This window comes from Homo sapiens, chromosome 3, assembly GCF_000001405.40.
Source record: "Homo sapiens chromosome 3, GRCh38.p14 Primary Assembly".
NCBI lineage: Eukaryota > Metazoa > Chordata > Mammalia > Primates > Hominidae > Homo > Homo sapiens.
The window spans coordinates 96,924,818-96,937,650 of record NC_000003.12 but is presented as its reverse complement, the minus strand read 5'-3'; the positions used below and the strand labels follow the sequence as shown (position 1 = coordinate 96,937,650).

At 38.1% G+C, this 12,833-nt stretch overlaps 1 protein-coding gene across 14 annotated transcripts in view; it reads right to left on the bottom strand.

Moving 5' to 3' along the window:
• Positions 1-12,833, bottom strand: part of EPHA6 (EPH receptor A6) — a 946,939-nt gene that overhangs the window by 823,882 nt on the left and 110,224 nt on the right. Inside the window, exon 2 of one of the 14 annotated variants that reach the window (XM_017006212.1) lies at positions 1,518-1,637. The exons of the other annotated variants lie outside the window; for them this stretch is intronic. Within the exon in view, the coding sequence (XP_016861701.1) occupies positions 1,518-1,565 (48 nt within the window). The 5' untranslated portion in view covers positions 1,566-1,637. The remainder of the gene's footprint in view (positions 1-1,517; positions 1,638-12,833) is intronic. 14 annotated transcript variants of the gene reach the window in all.

Below are 12,833 nucleotides of genomic sequence, written 5' to 3'. Positions count from 1 at the left end.
CAATGACAACAAAAGTCAAAATTGACAAAAATGGATCTAATTAAACTAAAGAGCTTCTGCACAGCAAAAGAAACTACCATCAGAGTGAACAGGCAACCTACAAAATAGGAGAAAATTTTCACAAACTACTCATTTGACAGAGGGCTAATATCCAGAATCTACAATGAACTCCAACAAATTCACAAGAAAAAACAAACAACCCCATCAAAAAGTGGGCGAAGGATATGAACAGACACTTCTCAAAAGAAGACATTTATGCAGCCAAAAAACACATGAAAAAATGCTCATCATCACTGGCCATCAGAGAAATGCAAATCAAAACCACAATGAGATACCATCTCACACCAATTAGAATGGCGATCATTAAAAAGTCAGGAAACAACAGGTGCTGAAGAGGATGTGGAGAAATAGGAACACTTTTACACTGTTGGGACTATAAACTAGTTCAACCATTGTGGAAGTCAGTGTGGCGATTCCTCAGGGATCTAGAACTAGAAATACCATTTGACCCAGCAATCCCATTACTGGGTATATACCCAAAGGATTATAAATCGTGCTGCTATAAAGACACATGCACACGTATGTTTATTGTGGCAGTATTCACAATAGCAAAGACTTGGAACCAAGCCAAATATCCAACAAGGATAGACTTGATTAAGAAAATGTGGCACATATACACCATGGAATACTATGCAGCCATAAAAAAGGAGTAGTTCATGGCCTTTGTAGGGACATGGATGAAAGTGGAAACCATCATTCTCAGCAAACTATCGCAAGGACAAAATACCAAACACCACATGTTCTCACTCATAGGTGGGAATTGAACAGTGAGAACACATGGACACAGGAAGGGGAATATCACACTCCAGGGACTGTTGTGGGGTCGGAGGAGTGGTGAGGGATAGCATTAGGAGATATACCTAAAGCTAAATGACAAGTTAATGGGTGCAGCACACCAACATGGCACATGTGTACGTATGTAACAAACCTGCACATTGTGCACATGTACCCTAAAACTTAAAGTATAATAATAATAAAATTAAATTAAATTAAAAAAAGAACATCAACAAAAAAAAACCCAAGAGCAATATTATACATTTCCTTGAGCTTGAAGTACAGAACAAAAAGAATTACAGAAATTATCCACTGCCAGTTATATAATATACACAAAAGAGCTTGAAAAGTTTGATATAAATTTTATAATTTAACTTCATACTCTATCATTATAATGGATTCATAACAGCTTGATTTTTTTTTAGGTTTATGTAAAGCAGATACATGACTTTTTTAATTACCTAATTTTGCATGCTTTAAAACCATTACATTTCAAACATATTTTTGAAAAGCCAAATGTTTTTTATTGAGTTTTAAAAAACATTTAAGAAATAAATGTTAAGTGGAAACTAAAATGTGAACTTTAATGTACTTAACTCTGGGGCCTAAAATGACGTATTGCCATACAAAAATATCTTTCCATTTAAAAAAATAGATGTTGTTTTCCTAGAAACTTTTCCAACCTGGCTCCTATGGAGCTGCAGCATGTACATCCAGAGGAGAAGTAACATCAGGTTCTGGTGAGGTGGTCTCTTCAGTGCCTTCTTGAATTTTCCCCCCTTTTAGCAGTGTTGAAAATAGGTCTGGAAAAGCATAGGAAAGCTATATCAAATTTTCCTTAGGAGGTTTGTTCCATACTGTTTTAGCAGCTCTGCACAATGAAGGTGCTATATGGTATGACACTAAATATTCATTTTCACTAATGAGTCCTCTCGTGTCATATTAATAATATCCTCAATATAAATACATTGAATTAACTCAACTTAGGACATATTTGAAAATAGGCATGTGTAAATTAGATCAGAAACATCCTTAGGACTACACACACACACACATATATATAATGTGTGCATATATATTATATATATATAATGTATATATAATGTATATATAATATACATAATGTGTGTATATATAATGTTTAAGGCAAGTTGAACTGTTATAAATATATATAATATTTAGGATGGAAACCTTTATATAAAATGAAATATGATGCTTCACAACAATCTGGAAATTTTTATATGCTATCTTTATATATTATATTTTCAAAAATGTTTAAATATAATATGGTCTTTTAAAATCTAGAATATATGAAATGAATTATGTAAGAGAAAGTATGTCCATGTAGAATACCTATAATAGTTTTATATATGTCATATACATATATTCATATAATAGTTAAAATATGTGTAAATGTTTAACCAAAATTAAATATCACAAGTTATATTTTTAACCTTGAATGGAAAAGATAATATTGTATCCTGGAATAATATATCATTCTTAATTTGTTCAAATAATCAGAGTAGTTAATCGGAAAATAAAAACATATTTTGATTTTATTTTTCCCCAGTATGAACTATTCCTCAGGTAGTTAACCTACTGATAATTTAGTTATAGTTTATTTCTAAAATACATAAAAATGTTGTTAATGTGAGTATTGTCTTCAGGTTTAGTGAAAACGAACATGGTAAGTATTTGAAGAAGAGAGGTTGCTAAAACAGTAACCATTAATCTAAATGCTCTTAGTGTTACTGGATCATTTAAAATTGTACAAGCGTTGGGTAGACATTAGAGAACCAATATTTGAATCTTTATATTATGATTGAAAGTTAATATAAAAAATAAATGATATCATATCCCCATTTCTTTATGATGTTAGTATATTAAAAACAAGTAATGGAGAAGATAATTTTATAATGCTAGGAGCAAAGATAATATTTAAAGCTATTATACTTAAAGGATGTTTTTTCTAACCTCTATTTTCATATTTAGGATTGATTGTCCTTCAGGAAAAGGACATTTGAATTATGTGATTATTTTATGGTACTTAATTTGTGAATTTTATTTAAATTTCATTGGCCTTTCTAATTATTCCCCTTAGTTTATAATTTTATATAAACCATTAATATTTGAAAATAATGTAAATAATGTAAACAATATAAAGTAATTTTTACAAATATTCCTGTACCCAATCACCATATTATTATAACATAGTTATACACAGGGTAAAATTATACTCAATAGGTAGTTTAACACAACAAAAAACCAGTAAAGTAGCTAGTTCTGCTTACTATATTTTGTCTAATAATTCTAGAAATTTGTATTTGATTATTTTAAAACCATGGTTAATAAAATAATAAGGTATGCAGAAAAAATAGTTCTGGAAACAAATGATCACTTATAGAAGTGGTAATTTACAACTAAAATTAGAAATACCAAATGTGCTAATATATTTAATAATAATGGTATAAGATAAAATAAAAAATGGATCATAAAGAATAAACTCTAAAAACAGAAATGAAGATTAGATCTGCAAGGAAAAAAATCTGATAGAAATTGTTACTACCTCCCAGGACATTTAAGTTAAAATAAAATGGCCTACTCAATCAAAGTGAAGTATTCTATTTATAAACACCCTTCTTTGTGGCTTAAGTATGTGTAAATTTACTTGCCCCTGTGAATAGAACCCATTAAAATAGAAAAAGGTATTTCATATTTTTAAAATGAAGCTATTAACAAATAGCTTATTTTAGCATGAACAATATGAACCAATTATTTTGGTTGTAATAAATATCAAATTTATTTGGTACATAAAATAATAATATCACCTCAAATCACTTCAGAGCCTTTTTCATCAATTGTTATAAAAATTGAGTCATAAAATACCAAGCCATTTCTTCCAAATAATGACAACTATCATCTGGTCATTTCCTGTTACACAACAGGATAATCATCATGTTCTTTATGTTACCCAAAACATATTAAATATCCATACTCTCTCTCTTCTCTGATTCCTCAGTTCACAACTATTTGTGTCACATATTTAACCTTCCTATTTCACTTTAAAATTTATAATAATAAACTTACTCTGTGTCCTTAAAATTCATAACTAAATTCTTCTTCTAAGAAACTCTCAAATCCTAAACTGTTTTGTACTTTCATAGCGATTTGCAATTTGATCATGAATCTTTCTTACTTTCCCACTTCTTACAAGGTGTTAACAAAACTGTACAATTACAAGAGAATTCTGTTATAACTAATTTCACTTGTAGAATTTTGGAAATCAAAGTAGAGTTAGGAAAATTCTAAGAAACTTAACTATTTGCTGTCCATATATTTGCCTGTGTCAAAGTCTACATTCCAAAATCATGAAAATAGTTAAACTAAAGTTTTTATAAACATATTTAGCTAAAAAATTAATTAGGTAAGTAACAAAAACCTGCAATTTTAGAAACTTGGAAATACAATAATTAAATATATTGTTAGTCAGAGGAATGTAACCAGGACCTCATTTTTAAAAATATATTTTAATCACCTACTTTCTTCTTCTTTCCCTCCCATTTTACCCCTTCTTCCTTTGCCCCTCGCTAGACACTTCCCTCTGGCAATATGTACTTAACAGTTATGTCCTTGCTTAGGAAATTCCAGAGGCTAATTTCGAAACAAACCAGGAATGGAGCCCTGATTGAGGAATCCTCCTGCTTAAGGGGGGTTGCGAAGAATTAGTCTACCACCAAGGGGCTGAAGTCAAAATAATGCCATCTTGACGTCCAGATGGATGATTACCCAAGATAAGCCATTGGAACAAAGACACATAGACTCTGCACCCTGTACCACTCCTGTATCTTTCCCATACCAAGTTTCCCTTTAAAAATCCTATAGTAAATTAAAAAAAATTTTTCAGATCATACATAGAGAAGCATATGTTAACCAGATAAATCGTTTTGCATGTTTTATTATGACATTAATATTTTTAAAATACATATATGTTTAAAATATTTTTAAAACTTTAAAAACAGCCAAAAAACAAAAACACACTATTTTTTACAATTACGCATTTTAGAGATGGTGGTGAACTAATCTGTGATTATAGTCCACCATCTGCTCAGTTTGCTAACTCTCCGGCTTTCCAAATAAACCTGCTTTCCTTCCTACTAACCACTGTCTCTCCTGTCTGGCTTTCAAGCAGTGGGGAGCTGAACCTGGGTTTGGTTACAGGAGGACATACTAAAGCAATTTAATGTCTTCTAAATCCTGCAGATAAATTCTACTGAACATTCATAATTATTTTTCATTATTTCTAATTTGTATGGTTTAAGTAATGTGAATATATGTTAAATAATAGAAAACCAGTTCTCTCTTTTTAAAGGATTTTGGTAAAGTAAATGTAAAAGGTAAGCTGAATAATTGAAGTACATTCTGTGTTTTTAAAATATTTATTTTGAAAATTTTCTCCCAAAAGAGTAAAGGATAAACAAAGGATAAAAAGTTGAATGAATTGCATGGAGGGGCCAAGATGGCCAATTAAAAGCAGCTGCAGTCCACACTACTCACATAGAGGAATGAAAGGGGTGAATGAATATAGTACCTTTAACCGTAATATCCAGGTTCTCACATTGGGACTGATTAGGCAAACAACTCAATCCACAGAGAATGAAGAAAAGCAGGGTAGAGTGATGGCCCACCCTGGAATACAGCCAAGGAACCCCCACCCCCAACCAAGGGAGGCAGTGAATGACTGTGTGACCCTGCCAGGAAACCAATCTCCTCCCATGGATCTTTGCAACATAGATCAGGATATCCCCTCATGAGCCCACGGCATGAGGGCCTAGGGTCCAATGGACCCACACAGCTCTGTAGCTGTGTGGAGGGCCAGCAGAGCAGCTGCTCAGGCACACACAGAGACCCTACTCTGGCTCTAGGATCCTCAACAAGGGTGTGTGCAACTCTGGTAAGGCAAGAGGTCCATGCATATCCCTAGGAAGCGGGCTGAATCCAGGGAGCCAAGCAGCGGTATTCTGAGGGCCCCACTTCCATGATACCTCACAAGATAAGACTCACTGGTTTGAAATTCCAGCCAGCCAATGGCGACAGGGTGGAGCCTGTCTGAGAGGGGAAGGAGCTCCCAGGGGAAAAGGCAGCTACTATCTGTGCAGTTCTGTTGACTCAGCCATTCCAGCCTGCTGTCTTTGGAGAGTGCAAACAGTCTGGATGAAAGGGTCCCCTTAGTGCAGCATAGCTGCTTTGCTACACCATGGCCAGACTGCTTCTTTAAGTGGGACCCTGATCTATTCCTCCTCACTAAATGGGGGCTCCCAGCCAGGCTTCAGCCACCCCAGCCAGTTTTCTACAGACAGAGCTCTGACCTCTACCTAAAATGGAGTCCCTGGGGGGAGGTGAGGCCACCATCTCTGTGGTTAGGTGGACTCAGCCATCTCAGCCTGCTGGCTTTTGAGAGTCCAAACAGTCCAGACAAGAAAGGGTTCCCCCAGTGCAGCACAGCTGCTTTGCCAGATGGCAGCTGCTTCTTAAAGCAGGACCCTGATCCATTCCTCCTCACTGGGTGGGACCTCCCAGCCAGGGCTTCAGCTGGGACTCAGACAGTTTTCTATGAACAGAGCTCTAATTTCCATCTAAGACAAAATGGCTGGGAGGTGGGGCAGGCCACCACCTTGGTTGTTCAGGTACCTCAGTCAGTCCAGCCTGTGGGCCCTGGAAAACCCATAACAATCAGGGCTGAAGGGATCCCCAAAATGGCACACTTGCTCTACCAAAAAGCAGCCAGAAAGCTTTTCTTTTTTTTTTTTTTTTTTTTTTTTTTTTTGGAGACAGAGTCTCACTCTGTCACCCAGGCTGTAGTGCAATGTTGTGACCTTGGCTCACCACAACCTCCGCCTCCCAGGTTCAAGTGATTCTCCTGTCTCGGTCCACTGAATAGCTGGGATTACAGGCGCATGCCACCATGCCTGGCTAATTTTTGTATTTTTAGTAGAGATGGGTTTTCACCATGTTGTCCAGGCTGGTCTAGAATGCCTGACCTTAGGTGATCTGCCCACCTCAGCCTCCCAAAGTTCCGGGATTACAGGCATGAGCCACCAGGCCCAGCTAGACAGCTTATTTTAAGCAGGTTACTGACCCTGTTCCCCTTGACTGGGTGAGGCCTCCCAGTTCGGGTCTCCGGCCACCTCCTACAGGCATGTTCAGGCTGGAAATGAATTAGTACTCCCCTGGGATGGAGCTTCCAGAAGGAGGAGGCTACAATGTTTGCTGTTTCACAGCCTTCAATTATGATACCTGCAGGTACTGGAAAATCTAAGGCAACCTTGGTATAGAGGGGACCCACAGCAACCTGCAGCAGCCCTATAGAAGGGTGTTCTGACTGTTAAAAGAAAAACAAATAAACAGAAAACAACATCAACACAAAAGACCCCACAAAAACCCCATTCAAAGGTCAGCAACCTTAAAGACCCCATAAAGATGGAAAAAATCAACACAAAAATAGTAAAACTCAAAAATATAGAGTGCCCCTTCTCCAAATGACTGCAACACCTCTCCAGTAAGGGCTCAGAACTGAGCTGAGGCTGAGATGGCTGAAATGACAGAAATAGCCTTCAGAAGGTAGGTAATAACAAACTTTGCTGAGCTAAAGTAACATATTGTAACCCAATGCAAAGCAGCTAAGAATTATGATGAAACAATACAGGAGCTGACAACCAAAATAGCCAATTTAGAGAGAAGTACAATTAACCTGTTAGACCTGAAAAACACACTATAAGAACTTCACAACGCAATCACAAGTATTAAAAGCAGAATTGGCTAAGCTGTGGAAAGAATCTCAGCCTGAGAATATCTTTCTAAAATAAGAGAAGCAGCCAAGAAAAGACAAAAAAGAATGAATAAATAAAACCTCTGAGACATACGGGATTATGTAAAGAGACCAAACCTATGACTGCTTGGGGTACCTGAAAGAGACAAGGAGAATGGAATCAACTTGGAAAACACACTTCAGAATATCATCCAGGAGAACTTCCCCAGCCTAATAAGAGAGGCCAACATTCAAATTCAGGAAATGAAGAGAACCCCAGTAAAATACTCCACAAGAAGATCGACCCCAACACATATAATCATCACAGTCTTCAAGGTTGAAATGAAAGAAAAAATGTTAAGAGCAGCCAGAAAGAAAGGCCAGGTCACCTACAAAGGGAAGCCCAACAGACGAACGGCAGACCTCTCAGGAGAAACTCTACAAGCCAGAAGAGACTGGGGGCCAATATTTAAAAAAGAAAACTGCCAACCCAGAATTTCATATCAGTCCAAACTAAGCTTCATAAGTGAAGGAGAAATACAATCCTTTTCAGATAAGCAAATGCTGAGGGAATTCGTCATCATGTGACCTGCCTTGCAAGGGCTCCTGAAGGAAGCACTAAATACGGAAAGGAAAAACCATTAGCAGCCAATATTAAAACACACTGAGGTACACAAAGCAGCAACACTCTGAAGCAACCATGTAAACAAGTCTGCAAAATAACTAGCTAGCATCATGATGGCAGTATTGAATCCATGTATAACAATACTAATCTTAAAAGAAAATGGGCTAAATGTCCCGATTAAAAGACACAGAATGGCTGTGGGACTTGGTGCCCTAAACTCTAACCACTTGAGCTCCAGTTGTGGCTAAAGGAGGCCAAGGTACAGCTCAGGCTGTTGGATATAAGGCCAAGACCCATTGGTATGTCATCTTCAAGCTGGATAAAAAGCCAAGACCCATTGATATGTTGTCTTCAAGAGACTCATCTCACATGCAAAGACACACAAAGGCTCAAAATATTGAGACTGAGGATAATTAACCAAGCAAATGGAAAACAGAAAAAAGCAGGGGTTATAATCCTAGTTTTTGACAAAAGACTTTAAACCAACAAAGATAAAAAAAGACAAAGAAGGGTATTACATAATGGTAAAGAGTTCAATCCAATAAGAAATGCTAATTATTCTAAATATATATGCACCCAATAGAGGAGCACCCAGATTCATAAAGCAAGATCTTAGAGACCTTCAAAGAGACTTAGACTCCCACACAATAATAGTGGGAGACTTTACCACCCCACTGACAATATTAAACAAGTCATCAAGAGAGGAAATTAACAAAAATATTCAGGACCTGAACTCAGCTCTGAGTCAAGTGGACCTGTTAGATACCTACAGAACTCTCCACCCAAAAATAACAGAATATACATTCTTCTCATCACCGCACGGCACTTACTCTCAAATTGACACACAATCAGAAGTAAAATACTCCAAAGCAAATGCAAAATAACTAAAATCATAACAAACTGTCTCTCAGGCCACAGTGTAATCAAATTAGAACTAAAGATTAAACTCACTCAAAACCACACAACTACATGCAAATTGAACAACCTGCTCCTGAATGACTTTCGCGTAAATAATGAAATTAACGCAAAAATCAAGTTATTTGAAACTAATGATAACAAACAGCTAATATACCAGAATCTCTGGGATGCAGCTAAAGCAGTGTTAAGAGGTAAATTTATAGCACTAAATGCTCATATCAAAAAGCTAGAAGGATCTCAAGCTAACAACCTAACATCACAACTAAAAGAACTTGAGAACTGATATGGTCTGGCTCTGTGTCCCCACACAAATCTCATCTGAATTATAATCTGTATAATCTCCACATGTCCAGGGAAGGACCTGGCGAGAGGTGATCATGTCATGGGGGTGGTTCACCCTATGCTGTTCTCCTGACAGTGACTGAGTTCTCATGGGATCTGATAGTTTTGCAAAAGTTTCATAGTTCCTCCTTCACACACTCGCTTTCTTGCCTGCCACCCTGTAAGACGTAACTGTTTCCCCTTCTGCCATGAGTTAAATGTTTCTGAGGCCTGCCCAGCCCTGCAGAACTGTGAGTAAATTAAACTTCCTTGGTTTATACATTACCTGATCTCAGGTAGTATCTTTATAGCAGTGTGAAAATGGACGAATACAGGAAATTGGTACCCGGAGTGGGGCACTTCTATAAAGACAACCTGAAAATGTGGAAGTGACTTTGGAACAGGGTAACAGGGAGATGAGGGAAAATTTGGAACCTCCTAGAGACTTACTGAATGGTTTTGACCAAAATGCTGATAATGACATGGACAATGAAGTCCAGGCTGAGGTGGTCTCAGATGGAGATGAGAAAATTATTGGGAACTGGAGCAAAGGTCACTCTTACTATGCTTTAGCAAAGACACTGGCAGCATTTTGCCCCCACCCTAGAGATAAGTGGAACTTTGAACTGGAGAGAGATTATCTGAAACTGGAACTTATGTTTAAAAGAAAAGAGTAAAAACATTTAGAAAATTTGCAGCCTGACAATGTGATAGAAAAGAAAAACCCATTTTCTGCAGAAATGTGCATAAGTAACAAGGAGCTGAATGTTAATATCTGAGACAATGGAGAAAATGTTTCCAGGGCATGCCAGAGACCTTCACAGCAGTCCTTCCCATCATAGGCTCTAAGGCCTAGAAGGGAAAAATGGTTTCCTGGGCCAGGCCCAGGGCTCAGCTGCTTTGTGCAGCTATGGGACTTGGAGCCCTGCATCCTAACTGCTCCAGTCGTGGCTAAAAGAGGCCAAGGTACAGCTCCGGCTGTTGCTTCAGTGGGTGCAAGCCCCAAGCCTTGCCGGCTTACATGTGGTGTTAGGCCTACGGGTGCACAAAAGTCAAGAATTAAGGTTCGGGAACCTCTGCCTGCATTTCAGAGAATGTATGGAAATGCTCAGATGTCCAGTATAAAGTCTGCTGCAGGGGCTGAGCCTTCATGGAGAACCTTTGCTAGGGTAGTACAGTAGGAAAATGTGGGGTTGACGCCCCCACACAGAGTCCCTACTGGGGCACTGCCTAGTGCAGCTGTGACAATAGGGCCACTGTTCTTTAGACCCCAGAATGGTAGATCCACTGACAGTTTGCACAGTGCACCCAGAAAAGCTGCAGACATACAGGGTCAGCCATAAAACCAGCTGGGGGGCTGTACCCTGCAAAGCCAAGGCCATGGGAGCCCACCCCTTGCATCAGCATGTCCTGGATGTGAGACATAAAGTCAAAGAAGATCATTTCAGAGCTTTAAGATTTAAGAACTGCCATGCTAATGTTTGGACTTGCATGGGGCCTGTAGCCCCTTTGTTTTGGCCAATTTCTCCCATTTAGAGTAAGAGCATTTATCCAATACCTGTGCCCCCACTGTATCTTGAAAGTAACTGTTATTTTACAAGCTCCTAGGCAGAAGGAACTTGTCTTGTCTCAGATGAGACTTTGGAATTGGACATTTAGGTTAATGCTGAAATGAGTTAAGACTTTGGAAGACTGTTGGGAATGCATGATTGGTTTTGAAATGCAAGAAGATATGAGATTTGTTGGGGGGCAGGGGGGCAGGGATGGAATGATATGATCTGGTTCTGTGTCCCCACCCAAATATATCTCTAATTGTAATCCCCATGTGTCGAGGAAGGGGCCTGGTGGGAGGTGACTGGATCATGGGGTTGGTTTCACCACGCTGTTCTTGTAATAGTGACTTTCACAAGATCTGATGGTTTTATAAGTGTTTGACAGTTCCCCTTTCACACAATCACTCTCTCGCCTGCTGCCATGTAAGACATGCTTGCTTCCCCTTCTGCCATGACTATAAGTTTCCTGAGGCCTCCCTACCCATGTGGAACTGTGAGTCAATTAAATCTCTTTTGTTTATAAATTACCTAGTCTCAAGAAGTATTTTTATAGCAGTGTGAAAATGAACTACTACAAGACCCAAGAGCAAACGAACCCCAAAGCTGGTAGAAAACAAGAAATAACCAAGGTCAGAGCTGAAATGAAGGAGACAGAGATGTGAAAAACCCTTCCAAATAATCAAGAAATTGGCTGGGCACGATGGCTCACACCTGTAATCTCAGCACTTTGGGAGGCCAAGGCAGGTGGATCACCTGAGGTCGGAAGTTTGAGACCAACCTGGACAACATGGTGAAACCCCACCTCTACTAAAATTACAAAAATTAGCCAGGCATGGTGGCAGGCGCTCGTAATCCCAGCTACTCAGAAGACTGAGGCAGGAGAATCACTTGAACTCAGGAGGCAGAAGTTGCAGTGAGCCAAGATCACGTCACTGCACTCCAGCTTGGGCAATGAGAGCAAAACTCTGTCTTGGGAAAAAAAAAAAAAACAGCAAATCAAGGAGCTTGTTTTTTGAAAAAAAATGATAAAATTGAATGACCACCAGCTAGACTAATAAAGAAGACTAAAGAGAAGATTCAAATAGTCAGAAATGATAAAGGAAATAACACCACTGACCCCACAGAAATGCAAACAACCATCAGAAAATACTATAAACATCTCTATGCAAATAAACTAGAAAATCTAGAAGAAATGGATAAATTCTGGACACATACACTGTCCCAAGACTGAACCAGGAAGAAATTGAATCTCTCAATAGACTGATAACGAGTTTCAAAATTGAGAGAGTAATAAATGGCCTACCAAACAAAAAAAGCCCAGTGTCAGATAGAATCACAGCTGAATTTAATGAGAGGCACAAAAAAGAGCTGTAACATTTCTAATGAAACTATTCCAAAAAATTAAAAAGGAGGGACTCCTCCCTGACTCATTCTATGAGGCCAGCATCATCTTGATACCAAAACATATATACCTATCAGAGACACAACAAAAAAAGAAAACTTCAGGCCAATATCCTTGATGAACATTGATGCAAAAATCCTCAGTAAAATATTGGCAAACCGAATCCAAACCAGCACATCAAAACAATTATCCACCACAATTAAGTTGGCTTCAGGAGGTTGTTTCAACATATGCAAATCAGTAAAGGTGATTTGCATATGTTGCATAGTTACATAAACATAACTAAAGACAAAAACCACGATTATCTCAATAGATGCAGAAAAGGCCTTCAATAAAATTCAATATTCCTTCATGTTAAAATCTCTCAATAAACTA